Source organism: Homo sapiens, chromosome 4, assembly GCF_000001405.40.
Source record: "Homo sapiens chromosome 4, GRCh38.p14 Primary Assembly".
In the NCBI taxonomy this organism is placed as follows: domain Eukaryota; kingdom Metazoa; phylum Chordata; class Mammalia; order Primates; family Hominidae; genus Homo; species Homo sapiens.
The window spans coordinates 74,748,947-74,764,976 of NC_000004.12; the positions used below are offsets into that span (position 1 = coordinate 74,748,947).

General features: G+C 37.2%; 1 protein-coding gene across 4 annotated transcripts in view, besides 1 other annotated feature; it reads right to left on the reverse strand.

The window, feature by feature from the left end:
- The window catches only part of BTC (betacellulin), a 49,765-nt gene that overhangs the window by 4,188 nt on the left and 29,547 nt on the right, over positions 1 to 16,030 (reverse strand). For 2 of the 4 annotated variants that reach the window (NM_001729.4, XM_011532211.2), the window contains exons 3-4: positions 6,913 to 7,030; positions 1,627 to 1,773 (exon numbers count right to left, since the gene is read on the reverse strand). In NM_001729.4, the coding sequence (NP_001720.1) occupies positions 1,627 to 1,773; positions 6,913 to 7,030 (265 nt within the window). The remainder of the gene's footprint in view (positions 1 to 1,626; positions 1,774 to 6,912; positions 7,031 to 16,030) is intronic. The other 2 variants (NM_001316963.2, XM_047416103.1) reach the window with 1 other exon arrangement.
- Positions 5,499 to 5,558: a silencer, noted in NCBI's record as "silent region_15478". NCBI's record gives its function as "represses an Ori minimal core promoter by ATAC-STARR-seq in GM12878 lymphoblastoid cells {active_cell/tissue: GM12878}" and the evidence as "EXISTENCE:reporter gene assay evidence [ECO:0000049][PMID:35858748]".

The window sequence follows — 16,030 nt, forward strand, 5'->3', positions numbered from 1 at the left end:
AACCTGGCATAATATTTCTTCCTACCTTAAAGTAGGTAAAATAAAAATATATCTTTCAATTTTATAGTTAGAAAGTATCTGACAGATTATTTGGTTTAACACTCTTGTTTTACAGAAAATAAAAGTTCATAGTTGTTAAGAAATTTACCCAGGTTCTCAAAGATACATAATGGAGGAACCGAGACAAAAATCAAGTACTCTGGCCGGGCGCGGTGGCTCATGCCTGTAATCCCAGCACTTTGGGATGCCGAGGTAGGTGGATCAACTTGAGGTCAGGAGTTACCAGCCTGGTGTACATGGTGAAACCCCATCTCTACTACAACTACAAAAATTAGTTGGGTGTGGTGGCGGGCCCTTGTAATCCCAGCTACTCAGGAAGCTGAGGTAGGAGAATTGCTTGAACTCAGGAAGCTGAGGTAGGAGAATTGCTTGAACCCAGGAGGCAGAGGTTGCAGTGAGCCAAGATCACGCCGTTGCAGTGAGCCAAGATCACGCCATTGCACTCCAGCCTGGGCAACAGAGCAAGACTCTGTCTCAAAATAAATAAATAAATAAATAAATAAATAAATAATCAAAGACTCCCTCTACCGTAGTGCTTTTTTCCCTAGCACATTGCAAAGAAAGGAATCACGAGAACCCTCTTTATGTGTGGACCACAGTGAAGGGTAGATGCAAGAGTTTAGGAATCTGGGCAAGCTTCTCAAGACAAAAAGATACCACTTTAATAAGATAGTTTTTTTTGTTGTTGTTGTTGTTGTTGTTGTTTTTGGTAGCATACTTGGTGTTAGTCCTGCTCTGCAAAAAAAAAAAAAAAAAAAGTTCCCAAAAAGAAACTAATTTAACTAATTTAATTAAGAATTGTCCCAGGACCAGGTACAGTGGCTCACTCCTGTAATCCCGCTACTCAAGAGGCTGAGGCGGGAGGATCACTTGAGGCTAGGAGTTCAAGACCAGCCTGGACAACATAGTGAGAGCCAGTCTCCACAAAAAAAAAAAAAAAAAAGCCTGGCTTGGTGGCACACACTTGTATTCCCCGCTACTCAGGAGGCTGAGGTATGAGGATCGCTTAAGGCCAGGAATTTGAGGCTGCAGTGAGCTATGTTTACACCACTGCCCTCCAGCCTGGGCAAAAGAGCGAGACTCTGTCTCAAAATAAATAAATAAATACAAATAAAAATTGTGCAAAGCCACTCTGTCTCAGAGAAAAAGCAGGATGTTTCCTGATTTTCAAAGTTCTGGTATATAATAGAAAGTAAAAGGAAAAACAAAGTAACATGGTTTACACATAAAGTTTATTATTTTAATGTGGCAAAGCAAAAACAAATTTTTGTTTTTATCTTTCAATGTTACTGTGTTATGGTACAGTTTTAGAAAATAGAAGTCTTATGTAGCCTACTATACAAATTTTATTTTAAATTACAACAATTTTATTCAGTAAATGATAAAAATCATGTATTATGTGTTTTATTATGAATACTTCTATATCAACAATGGCAAAGCTCAAAAAGTAAATTTATTTGAATCAAAGAAAAAGCAAAAGAGAATGTAAAGAGGAAGAAAAGAAGAAAAACTATGAGCAAATACTGTTTCTCAGATTTACTTAAAATTAAGTTTAAAAATACTTACTGACAGCATGTGCAGACACCGATGACCAAAATAATAAAAACTACCATAACTGCTATCAAACAAATCACCAGAATCTGTCCTCTGTCTCCTCTTAGGTAAAACAAGTCAACTCTCTCACACCTTGCTCCAATGTAGCCTTCATCACAGCTATAAAACAAGACGAGGGCAAGGAAGTAAAACTTGCAAGACTTTTAAGAATCTCTACTTCTTTTCTGAAGAAATTAACAGTTCTCATTACTTGAAATTAATAAAGAACACAGTTCCCTTTTTAAAAAAAGATGCACTACTTTGTTGACCAGTAATTTCAATTTTTTTTTGCTTTGCTGAATACCTGTCATCACTTGATCATTAGACATTATTGATATGTCTAATATAAATACACAAGGATGATGACAATTAACTAAAATGTATTTTAAAATTTTAGTCTCTGAATTCAAAAAGGAAAGGAGGATAAAATTCCCAGTGCTTAAATAACTCCATGACAAGGAACTCAAAAATCCCCAGGACTTCCCATTTCATCACAGGATAATGCAAATAGTTTTGATGTTCTCATGCTCTCCTATAAATTATATAAAAATTGTATGGTTTTATATGATCAAATGTGCTAATGCATGTGAAAGTTCATAACACAATGTTCCATAAACGTTAGATAGAGAGAATGTTCCATAAGTGTTATTTCTACAGAATTTCTTTCGTCTTTCCTCCACTGTAAATTCTACCCGTTGATTCTAGTTCTACTGCTTGAGGGCATCACAGATTAGGTCATGCCCTTCTATTACTCTTCTGTTCGCCGCCTCCTTCATTACATCCCTGCAAACACATAAGTCTTGTCCTCTTTAGCTCCTTTATCTGATTCCTAAAACCACATTTGCAGATCTGTTCACCGTTCCCTTCACTCTCCTCTAAATGCCCTCCCTTTTTTCCATGGCCTTCTTCAAGGGAATGACCAGAAATCAACAGTCTCTCTTCATTTCCCTCATTCTCTCAGCTTTCTGTCAATCTGCCTTAGGATACATCTAACATAAACAGATGTCCTTAATCTGAGATTACAGTTATGCATCCACTTGACCAAGCTGGGGCTTGTCTGAGTAACATCCAGGGAGCTAACAACTCAGTGATTTGAGTACTCCCCATAGAATTATCTGAACTGCATCAGAGAATTAAGGTACATAAAAAGTTTGGGGACATTTTAACCAAAATTATCTGTTGTAACCTTAGTACCTTAGTATTAATAAACATTTTCCTTTATTAATATTAGGGAAATAGTAATCAAAAATATTAATAAATATTTTCCTTAAGAGAATGCTTCAAATGAAGTTAAAACACAAAGTGATACTGGTCATATACATAATTATTCAAAGGTCAAAAAGATTAAATTCTGCTCCTTAGAAAACTTCTGTGCAACCCCATTTTCCTTTAAGAAAGGATTTACGGCTGGGCTGTTCTATAGCTTATGCTTGACAAAAGCCAAGGCAGTTAATCCTCACAAAGCCTGTATTTCTCAAGTGAAGAGATCCCTTAATGCCAATATTGTAGCTGAGACAGTGCTTCAAAACAAATAAACAAAAAAACAAGCTCAGTAACAGCCATCACTTGAAAGGTGAGGCTTAATGCAAGCAAAGGAGAAAAGACAACTAAAGGCATCTATTATAAAAGGACCCAAGGATGAATGAAAGAAAATTGCTTCCTGCAAGATAGCTAAGTATCTTCATTCTGAGGTCAAAATTACAGGAAGAGAGCTTAGAAATATCTTGAGATATCAAAAATCTGTCATACATAAGACCAAAACTAGGGATGGGGGAATCACTTTTTTTTTTTTTTTTTTGAGACGGTGTCTCGCTCTGTAGCCAGGCTGGAGTGCAGTGGCGCAATTTCGGTTCACTGCAACCTCCGTCTCCCGGGTTCAAGCGATTCTCCTGCCTCAGCTTCCGAAGTAACTGGGACTAAACCACGCGCGCCACCATGCCCAGCTAATTCTTATATTTTTAGTAGAGACAGGGTTTCCACCATGTTAGCCAGGATGGTCTCAATCTCTTGACCTCGTGATCCTCCCACGTCGGCTTCCCAAAGTGCTGGGATTACAGGCGTGAGCCACCGTGACTGGCCGGGAATCACTTTTAATTGCATGTATACGAGGGAGATTTTTCAGAGTTTTTATAAGGTTGGAAATAAATCTTACAAATATATTTTTTTCCAACTAGCTTAAATATTCCTCTAACAAATTTACTAAATGTGGTATTTTTAAACAATAGCTTTGTCCATAAAATGCATGGCAATTATTTTCTACTCTTTTAGAATGTTTTTCTAATTATATGCTGTGGGATTGGTGGCTTAACAATGCTTTAATTGAATTTCTCAGTAAGCAGTACTTCCTGTAAGTTGTACCCCAGTGAATCCATGCTAAAAGGTCAAACCTTAACATAGCTGGTTATAGTGGTTCTCATGTTATTTTGCCCTTCAGCAAACCAATAACATATCAGCTGGTGTTTATTTTCAGTGAGTGTATCTCTCATGTAGGAGAAGAAGAGGCAAAGAGAGCAGATTCTAAGTTTTTTTATTAAATGGTGACTAAGTGGGTTTTTATTTAATAAGCATCTTATACTATTTAAAATCAAAAATAATTTTTAAAGATGTTCATGATCCTTAAGGGCAATGCAAAATTGGGCGTTGGGATCACTATTCTGAAATAACCACCAGAAACTGTTGTAAAAGATCTATGAATATTAACTGGATCCTTATTACCACCTTTGAGGTATGTGTTATCATTAACCCCATTTTATAGATGAAGAAACTGATGCACAGAGAAGTTAAGGGAATGGGGATTCAAACAGGCAGTCTGGCTCTCAAGTTCATGCTCTTAACTGCATAGTAAATGTGCTATGCTGCATGTATAAATAAAAATTATGTATCTGGAAACGAACTGTCCCTTTTCAAAGGAAATACTGAGAAGATTACTAAGAGGAGAAGATCTGCATTATTTGAAACACACTTTGGTTTTTTATGTAAAAACAAGAACCCACAAACTCCCATGATCCCAAGAAAAGGAGATACTTCTGGTTCCTCAAGACAGTGTTATCACCAATGGCAAGAGAGTTTTGCCTGAATCTGTGCTATATCACCTGAAACATCAGTCCTAGGTTGATTATCTACCACTCATCTCATAGCTTCTTGGGAGGATGAGGCAGGAGAGGCACATTAGCCTAGGAGTTTGAGTCTAGCCTGGGCAATATAACAAGACCTTCTCTCCAAAAAAAGAAAAAAAAAATATTGTTCTTAAAAAGTGGGAACTTTTTATTTATGGCATACTTAAATATGTTCTTAAAAAGTTGGAACTTTAAAAATTATGAAACACTTGCTCTTTGCTGGGTACCACAATTAGTGTTTTCGCATTTATTATTTTGCTATCTTCACCACTTGACTGGACAGTATTATTACTCTCTCTTGCAGATGATAAAACTGAGGCTCAGAAAAGGTAACTGACCCATTGTTAACACTGCTTATAACTGGCAAAAGCAAAATCTTACTTTAGGTCTATCTGACTCCAAAATCTGTGCCCTGTCTGCTATGATATTCTGCTTCCCATTGACTGTGTATTATTCCTCTACTAAGAAGATGTTCCATTCAGATTAAGGCCTTGGTCTGGAAATTTGGTATAGCATTAGATGGACTGTAATAGGGGCACTATTTGTTCAAGCATCAGTCATTTCTTGTGCACCTAGTAAATTCTGAGGACTGTGTTTGACACTGAAATACAAAAATGAATAAGCCATGAGCCCTGCCCTCTAGGAGCTCACTGTCACAGAAGGCACATTTAAAGAAACCACCAGTTATGCTCCAGTGGATAAGAGCTTTCATAGAGGTGTGGCTAGATCACAGGGGAAGGACATCTAACTCAGACCTGAGTGTATGCCTGAGAAGGAGGAAGTCAGTGAAGGGGTCCACAAGGAGATGATGAGTGCAGTGCATCTTAAACCATAGCAAGAATAAGCTTTCTGGGCTACAAGAAGAGCTTATATAATAAATCATGAAATGAAATGTAGAATTTTAGAAAAGCACTTAGGAATATGGTGAGATACAGCTAGAAAATTAAGCCAGGATCAGATGATCTATGAAGGCTAAGAAAACGAGTTTAAATTTTACATTGAAGGGAACAATCTATGTGTTGATCTTAGGCAGGTAGATTACACACTGTGGTTTTCATTTTAGAGGGCAGCAATATCTAAGAACAATAAATCTGCAGACATAGGAACCAATTAGGGAAATGTATTGGGTTAAAGATCATTAATATTTTTAAAATTCAATATGTGCTTCCAAGCCAGGGAGCAATTAAATGAATTTTTTTAAAAAATTAGATCTATCCCTCTCAACACACACACACACACACACACACACACTCACACACACACATTTCCTTATTTTCTTACATTAGCAATTGTTATCTGCCTCCATGTATTATCCACGCATATTTCCTTTTTAAATTAAATATATTTAAGTTTTTAAAAAGTTCATGACCCTTAAAGTTTCCACAAAATTAGGATTTGGAATCATTTTTCTGAGATACTTATGGAAAGAAAACTTATATACTGGGGCAACTGTGCAGAAGAACATAAACATTCTATGAACTTTAAGTCAAAATTGCACTTGAAGAATCTCCTCCCACTTCTCTAAGGAAAGGTCCCAGGAAGCACATTAGTGGGATATCTTTTTAGAAGAAAACACATATTTAAAAGATGCAAAAAGAAATTTGTGTATGCCTGAGTAAAATTGAGCTAGGCTCAAATACAAAGAGTTGAAAAGAAAACTTTTCTCCCAATTCCCCACTATACTAAACAGGCTTCGCTAATCTCTTATTTATAAATAGGACTAATTCCTTCTACTTAAGTGACTCCTACAAAAGTAGCTCTTAATTTGGCAGGAATTTCCTCGTATTTACACTAACTATAAACCACCAAACACTTGCCAGAATAATTCATTTCCATTTGAACCACCCAGGAGATTATTTGAGCCAAAAAGAATCAGTTCTGCTTGCGCAAGAAATCAGAGGACACTGCCCAGCCCAGAAGTGGAGCTGGACTCTCACATACTCATGTTTCAGGAGGAAAGTGTGCGTCAGTTTCTCCATAAGTAGTTGCTGAGTGGGCCCCTAAACAAGTGGCTGGGGGCAGGACCAGGCAGAACTGTGTTCGGACAGATGGCATGGTTAGCTCACACTTTCCAGTCCTGGCAAGACCCAGGCGGGCACCATTCTGCACCCTTTTGCTTGCTGGCTGAGGACACTCCACTTACACACAGGAGGGCGTCTGCTCGGCCACCACGAAGCGGCATCTCCCTTTGATGCAGTAATGCTTGTATTGCTTGGGGCACCTAGAGAAGTGGCCTTTCCGCTTTGATTGTGTGGTGGTAGCTGGAAAATGAGAAAAAGTTCAATAAATCAACTCTCTTTAAATATTCACTTGTAAATAGAATCATATTCTTATCTTGCTGCCAGTTTCTCTGTAGAATATGTTTGAATCTCTCATTTTTCTTTCTCTCTGCACTGGGATAAAAGTCAGACTTTTGTGACTCCAAAATAGCTCTAGACATTGGACAATGGGGATTATGGTCAGAATGTTTCCTACTTTAATTAAGATTTGACTTCAACCTACCTTTCAGAAACTTTAGTGTCATTTAAAGGGTAAAACACAAGTATAATAAGAGAGAAGGCTTTCATTCCATGAAAGTTATCAGAGCCACACTAGAGAAGAGAGGTTTTTTGTTTGGTTGGTTTTGGGGTTTGGTTTTGGTTGTTTAACTTAAACATTTACATAGTATTTCCTGAGTGCTAGATGCTGGTCTGTTTGCTTCTTGTATATTATTCATTTAATGTTCATAATAGCCTTGTGAGGTAAGAACCACTCCAATCTCCAATTTACGGATGCACAAAGCACGATACATGGAGGCTAAGTCACCTTCCAAGATCACACAGATAGAAAGTGGAAAAACTGGGACTCAAACCCAGGCAGTCTGCCACTGAGTCCACGTTCTTGACTGCCACATACACTCTGGCATTTGTTGAGCCAGCTGCTCACCAGGTGTCTGTCACCGACTCTCAGCCTGATGCATCCACAAGTCACACCTGCCTCCGTGGGCAATTGTGTCTCTCATTTGGCCCATGAATTCGTTCTGCTGCTCTGAAGGAGGAGGAAAATACTGAAAACTTCATGCTCTGGATTTCATTCCTGAACTGACTTCCTTGCCTTATGCTTTTAGGTAAAGGCCTAATTGATTGCCTAATTTTTCACCTGAGAATAGTAATATGTAGCCATTTCCCCATCACCGACATGTAAAATTTCAGTAAATAACAATCAAGAGAAACAGAACAGAAATACTAACTAGCTGTTTCGTATGTTAACTTACAAGGGACATAATGCCCACACCCACAGAAAACAGAAAACAACTAACAAGCCAGCTCCAGCCCAGGGTCAAACTTTCCACGTTCATGGTATAACCAACAGCTTGCAGGATCCAGATGCCTGTGGAGCCAGGAGGACCATGGTGTGTTCATGTCAGAAGAGCATGTCACGCTAGGTTTGGTATGGCACCTGGCATCCCAATGACATTGAATAATCATTTTATTAATAGCAATGACTACTAAATATCTTAATTAATATTATGAAAAGGGTACATATAATTGCCCCAGGCCACAAGAGAGAGGAATCTCAAAGGACTTAGGATGATCTAAATACTGCAAATTCCTGTGATTCCAGGTCACAGTGCAGAGTTTCAGGGGATGGCAGAATCTCACTGAGGAACTGGCTAACCTGGTTTGATTGGTGACTTGATAACCACCTATGCTGACTGCTTGAACTACATGCCAGATATTTGCTTGATACATGTCAACCAATGAGACTCATCAGAAGGACTGAAATTTCTTCCAGAAATAACTGCAAAATGTATCAAAGGCAAAGACCTCTGTATTTTGACAAATCAATTGATGTCAACTTCCATTCGTTGAGTGTTTCCATTTGCAGAGCTCTATAATAGGCACTAGAAAACATCGAAGAAATAAAGGATACCTTATCTTACTATTTAAATTGCTAGAATAGAATAAATAAAAAACAAGAATAAACAATTAACCGGTAAAAACAACCATCATAACCAGATAATAGTTTTAGTACACTGGAAACAGTAGAAAGAACACTGGATTCGGAGAAAGAAAATTCGTGTTTAATTTTTAGCTATGCCTTTCACTAGCTGTATGAGTCTGGGCAAGCTGATTAGGCTGTCTGAACCTTTGTTTCCTCATCTGTAAGATAGACATGATAACATCTACATTGAAGGTCTGTTGAGAGGTGCAGATACAAAGGATATGTAGAAGTTCATAGCAGAATTCCTGGGATAGTAAACTCCTCAGTAAATGAGTTAATCCCAGAATCTTAAAATCTTGGCAATTCTAACAGCAATCTCATATAAGTATGAAGAATGCTGACCTAATCAAAGAGAAATGTATGGAAAATGTAGATTTTAGAGGAGGTGAACAAGCAATTGAGTTATGGAGAATGTCAAGAGCAAAGGCACAGAGTCAAGAATATGCAGGTCTAATGCAGGCAGTGGGAGGCAGATTTCACTGGAATGGAAGGGTCCTGAAGGGGAACAGCAAAGAATGGCTGCGAATGAAAGTTAGAAATCTCAGATATCAGTAGGCTGAAGTGTTTACACTTGAAACACAAAGCAAGAGAGAGCTGAAGATGATTCCTATGGATGAAATTAAATGGTATACATAAAAATACTTTAAACTGTGGACCATTTTGTCACCATATTATATAAGAGAGTATAGACTGGGCTCTTAGTGGGGGCAAAGAGAAAACCAGGGCGGACACATACAATGTGAGTCTGGGCGAAGGGGAGGGAGGGCAAGGAGATTAACTCAAGAGGCAGAAGACTTAATGACAGATCTTGTATGAACTGGAAAGATTTTTCCAGATTTGCAAAGCATACCGGCCTTTAAATATCAAAGTCATTTGGCTATGTATCCTAAACTTTATTTCTCTAGTTGCTGTGCCCCTTTAAATGCACCCAGACTTTTGATAAACACCATGCAGAGTGTGATACCAAAAAGCAAATTAACCAGCAGCTGCTGAATGCAGTGATTTGATCAGCCTTCGTTCATCCAAGCAGCACAAATCTATGCCAAGGAAATATTTGCCAGGTCCTGTTTTGATCGCTCACAGAGCTCTCTCCTTTGCCAAGTAAGCATGCTCTTAAATATTCCCAGCATTATTTAGATTTTAAAACATTTCCATGCCACCAGGCAGAAAATGTCCAGCGATTTCTTTATGGAGCTTTAAAACCTGAAAGAAAAATAAATCACACATACTGCCACACATGCACATAAATATACACACACACACACACATACACACATACATACACAAACCCAGATGGGCTGGTCTCTCCCTTGTGAAAATGAGAAAGCTTATCAGCATTCTTTTTTTTGAACGGCACCTAAAATTTCAGTGCCTTATAATCCAGTATTCATCAAGTTCATGTTATCTAAATATTGAACTATGGAACCCAGCGTTTTCTGCCCATCATGAGACCTGATAATATAGGGCACGGGAGGGGGAATATACCCATCCATTCCAGAGATATTTATCAAGAAGAAGGAAAAGTTAATCCTATGACAAAATAGGGATTGGTCCTAAGTGTCGTATTTCTCTGCTGTAAAGTGAATGACATAGTCTTGAAAATGTAGCAATGTAGCAACCAGAAATATCCCTCTGGTCCTAGAGGTGGTGGGACACAATCGATTTTTTTCCTCCCACATTACCCTTTTCCAACTCAAATTGCCAAAAACAAAATATGCCCCTGTCCCAGAGAATTTCACTGGAAAAGTACATCCACTAGTGGACCAGGCTGCAACACAATCTCATAAGTGGATGGGCACCACAGGTAATATATACCAATTTCTTCACAGGACTCTATATTCCGAAGATGCTAAACACCAATTAAATAATTTTAAAATATATTTTAAAATAAATGTCACTTTAATGGAGATAAAGTATAAATAAAGTATAAATATAAATAAAGACATGACATTTAAGTTAAAAAAAAAAAAAGAAACCTTTAGGGTTACTGCACGTCAGTGGATGTAAAAACCTAACTCTAAGGGTTTGCAAAAGGAATCGGAAGTAAGGACATCTTTCTTAGATCACACAGCAATTAGACAAGAAGTAGTCATCCTCTTTGGGTCATATGGGAAGTTACATGAGACGTACTAGATTCCCTTGGGCTAAGCCAAAGTGGAGGAATATGGCAGACACCTAAATGACTTAGTTTCCATATGGAATTTTCCTCAATTTGACGGATGTTTTGATTAAACATAGGATAGTTCCTTAGTCTCTATGTGATTCTAGTACTCAAGACAATTGTGATGCCTTTGTGACTAAAACTCTTCAGAGTAGATCCGTTAGGTGTATCTTTCATAAAACCTTTGCTTATTTATTCTAACAGTGTTCATCCAAATGTATTCAATAATTTTGTAGATGACATTAATATCAGCTACTGTATTCTGAAGTCAACTCAAAGGGCAATCAATACTACAACTGTTATTACAGTGCTTTTTTGTAATACCTATTACAATGGTTATAGCCTTATAGTATCTCCAGCTCCGTAGTTAGATGCATAGTTAAATCTCTATGTACAAATGTAAAGGGAAAGGCTAAACTTTGAAATAGACGTCTCAGGTCTTAACAAGGAGACTGAGGAAGAAAAACAACTATAAATTCATCCTCCCACACATATAGGAAGTAGAGCCTAGGGCTTTGTTATTTTACTCCTTGGCTTCCAGGCATCTTCCCAGTAGGGATTTCCTCCTTTTACAAATTTCTTAGGCCAAAATGTGAAGAAGAAAGTTTTAGATATTTAAAGTTAATTTTCTTTTTTATCTTGCCAGCTATCTCTGGTCAGGGAAATGTAAATTCACAGTGTCCTTGAAGAAATACAAACTTTGAAAATTTATTTAAATTGAGGATTCTCATTTGTCTTGCATCCAATGACATTTCCTACAGAAAAGTGAAAGGGGACGTTACATCTCACAGAGGTACATGTTAACTTTTTCTGAGCTACTAGAATTTGCTTATGTAGGAGTTCAGTAGCATGATATGGACAGATTAGCATGTCATTTTTTTTTTTTTTTTTTGAGGCGGAGTCTCACTCTGTCGCCCAGGCTGGAGTGCAGTGGCACAATCTCGGCTCACTGCAAGCTCCGCCTCCCGGGTTCACGCCATTCTCCTACCTCAGCCTCCTGAGTAGCTGGGACTACAGGTGCCCACCACCACGCCTGGCTAATTTTTTGTATTTTTAGTACAGACGGGGTTTCACCGTTTTAGCCAGGATGGTCTTGATCTCCTGACTTCGTGATCCGCCTGCCTCAGCCTCCCAAAGTGCTGGGATTACAGGCGTGAGCCAATGCGCCTGGCCTAGCATGTCTTTTAACTAGGAGGGCCCTGCCAACCATTTCTGAGCTTATAGGAATGGGCCTTCACCCAGAGCTGCCCTTTTTCATCTAATCCCTTTGGAGGAAAAAAAAAAGAATCAATATTGAAGCATGGGTATCTTTGCATATGTTTAAAAATATTCATGGCTGGAGGCAAATGAAAATGAAGGGACAGGAAGAAAACTTATCTTTCTCGTTTTCCAAGAATGCATGCTATAGAATTCTTGTGTCCATGATGAATCCATGGCTCATTCTCCTTTGCAGGCTCCTCCTCGCCTCCCTGAACCTCTAAAATTTTGCAAATACAGCAGGGCTGGATACTCTTTCATCTCTTCTCCTTCCTGGGTAAGCTCATCAAGACTCCTGTCCTAAACACATCTCTATGATAACAATTTCTAAATTTAGTTTACATCCTAGTTTACATCATCCCTCACTCCCAACTGTCCAACTAACATCTTCACCTGGATATCTAACTGGCATTTCAACTTAACACTATCAAAATAGAATATTTGATTTTCCCATTCAAACTTGGTCTTTCCTTATCTCAGTAAATCATATCCATTCTTCTATTATTTCAGCCAAAAATATTGGAATTATCTTGACTTATTTCTCTCTTACACTACATCCAATGCATCAACAAACCCTGCCGGCTGCATTCAAAATACATGCAGAATAACCTCACGATCTCCACTACCCTGGTCTGAGCCCAGTAGCATCTCAGACTGGAAATAGCTTCTATGACGACACCTTTAACTAGTCTCTTTCCTTCTGCCTTTGCCCACTTGACTATCAAGTCTGCATACAACAACCAGAGTAATGTCATTAAAACTCACTCAGAGAAAAAACCTGAAGGCCTTATACTCCTTGGCAAGGCTCTATTATACATTACTCATTACCTCTCTTTCTCTGTTACCTTTCTGACTTCATATTTGACCACTGTTCATTTTTGCATCCTTGACACCTGGATGACAGCCTGCTGCATAGTAGGTGCTCATAAATATTAGTAAGATGAATGAATGCATCACCCAAGTTAGAAAATGATACAGTCAGTACATAAGATCTGTTCCTGCACCGTATTTATTTATTTTTCAAGAACCCACTGTTCTCATTTGCATTTTGCCTTCAGGAAATAATTGTTATTCTTATTATTTTTAGCATTTTTCTCACATGTTCCACATTTTGATCTTCCCATGTGATTCTAAGCAGTTTAGGTTGGTGATTAACAACACACTTTCTAGAGAGATGGTGTCTCTGAATTCATGTCAGGCTACTTTGTTTACTGTGTGATCTTGAACAAATTACTTTACCTCTCTGTGCTTCAGTGTCTTCATTTGAAAAAGGGAATAATGTAGGTACGCCATAGGATTAAATGAATTTATATACATAAAGCACTCAGAACAGTCCTTGGCACATAGTAGGAGATAAATAGATGATGGATGCTATCTTTTTATTAAAAGTGTACTTGTTGATGATGATGCTATACGCCAAAGGAATAAAGTATAATAAAATAAATCACCAAATAAAGGAAGGAAAGGAGGGCTGAAGGAAGGAAGGAAACAAAAAAGTGAAGAGGGAAGGAGAATGAGAAAGAGGGTGGAAAGGGGAAAAATATTGATTTAAATAATTAATGCTATTGTGACCATCATATAAGAGTAGACCCATCTACCTTAGATACTGAGAGATCAAGCTCAATTATATTTAGCATAGTCTACCTATTAATTTTACCTGATGTTTTAAGGTAATGCAGTTATTTTAGCCTGATAATGTGAAAGGACAGTGGTAACATAAATAACATTACTCAATGCCACAAAAATTTCAAGAAGCTCAATCCTTAATTAGAATTTTCAAAATCAAATCAACTGATTTTCAACACCTCTGGAATTGTGTTCTTGAGATTTTTTGTTTGCTTTGTTTCTGTTTTCTAATAGGCTACTAGGAGAAGAAGAGTAAACCAAAGAAATAATTAAGCATTTTTGCTCTGTATTTCTGGTTTCTCATTGATTTCTCAACATTTGTCCACACATAGACATGTTGAAGTCTGTTTTCTCTCCATCTCTAGATAATATTTCTCAAATAGTAAAATGTATAACTGTTTTTAAGCCCATTTGCCCGAAAAAATTCTATATCCTATACAGAAAAATACTAAATAATTTTTTGACATTATATTATTATTGTGATATTTAAGCAAAGTGATCTTCCACCAAATCACTAATGTATTTGTATTTTAATTATGCCAATAACTTTACCAAAATAATTTACAAATAATATTTTCTTAAAATTATCATAACTCAGTGACAAGTTGCATCCTGCATGGTCTTAGTGTGCCACAGGCCTAATCTCTCATTGTGTATAAGCCAGTTTGCCCCATGTAGAGACTACAGTATATGGTCTCTATTTTTAATTTTTTTAAAGTCAAATACTCATTTTTGCCTTATTTGCATAGTTTTCGGCTCTTACATTTATTATTTGTAAACAATACATTTACATTTAATATTGTAAAATAATTTACAATATTTACAATAATTTTACTAAAATATTTATAAGATCTATAAATGCAGGCTTAACCTCCTGAATGGGAGAGAAAGGGAACATACAACAGTAGTGAGAAAAAAAGAATCAGGGATTAATAAATTTCACTTTTCACGGATGCTGAGGAGGTGGGGAGATAGCCAGAGATTGGCTGAAGGATACAAAATTATAGTTAGATAGGAGAAATAAAGTTCTAATGTTCTCTAACACTGTAGGGTAACTATAATTAACAATAATTTACTGCATGTTTTGAAATAACTAAAAGAGAAGATTTTGAATATTTTCAACACATAAAAATGATAAATGTTTGAGGTGATAGATACATGCTAATTACCCTGATTTAGTCACTGCACATTGTATACATGTGTCAAAACAGCCCACTGTATCCTGTAAATATGTATAATTATTGTGTTAATTAAAAATAATAATAATAAATTTTAAAGAAAGCAGAAAATACACCAAAAAATAATTATCTGGGAATGTCCCCAGACCAAGTCTCAGAAAAGAAATTACAACTAATTCAGAGAAAATTATGGATTTGAGTGGGTGAACAAAAATAACTACTTCCTCAGTGATCCTCCAGAGGAAAAATTAGAGATAAATGTAAAAGCTAAAAATTATGCAAATAATGCAAAAATGAGTATTTGAATTTAAAAAAATTAAAAATAAAGACCATATACTGTAGCCTCTACACTGTGGGAAACTGGCTTTTACACAATGAGTGATTAGACCTGTGGCACGCTAAGACCAGGCAGGCTGCAACTTGTCACTGAGTTACTATGGAAGACGTGTGATGGGAAGGTCTGCATTGATGGGCATAGACCAAAATGAAAATTTTGGTGCTGGAAGCAGAAAACTGCCTAAGACAACAAAATGGCTTAGAATGAGAGACTGGGGATTATTCTGTTCAAGGATTTCCTTAGACCCCTCTTTTTGTCAAAGGGTGTTAGAGAGACATAAAAAACCACATCTATTTGTAGTACATAAAAAATTAGAAAACAGAGCCCATCAACCAATGAATGCATAAAGAAAATGTGGTTTATATACACCATGAAATACTACTTGGCCATAAAAAGGAACAAAATAATGTCTTTTGTAGCAACTGTGATGGAGATAGAGGCCATTATTTTAAGAGAAGTAATGCAGGAATGGGAAACCAAATAGTGTATGTTCTCACTTATAAGTGGGAGATAAGCTATGAAGATGCTGTATTAGTCTGTTCTCATGCTGCTAATAAATATATACCCAGCACTGGATAACTTATAAAGGAAAGAAGTTTAATTGACTTGCAGTTCCACATGGCTGGGGAGGCCTCACAATCATGGCAGACAGTGATTGAGGAGCAAAGTCATGTCTTACATGGCAGCAGGCAAGAGAGCTTGTGCAGGGGAACTCCCA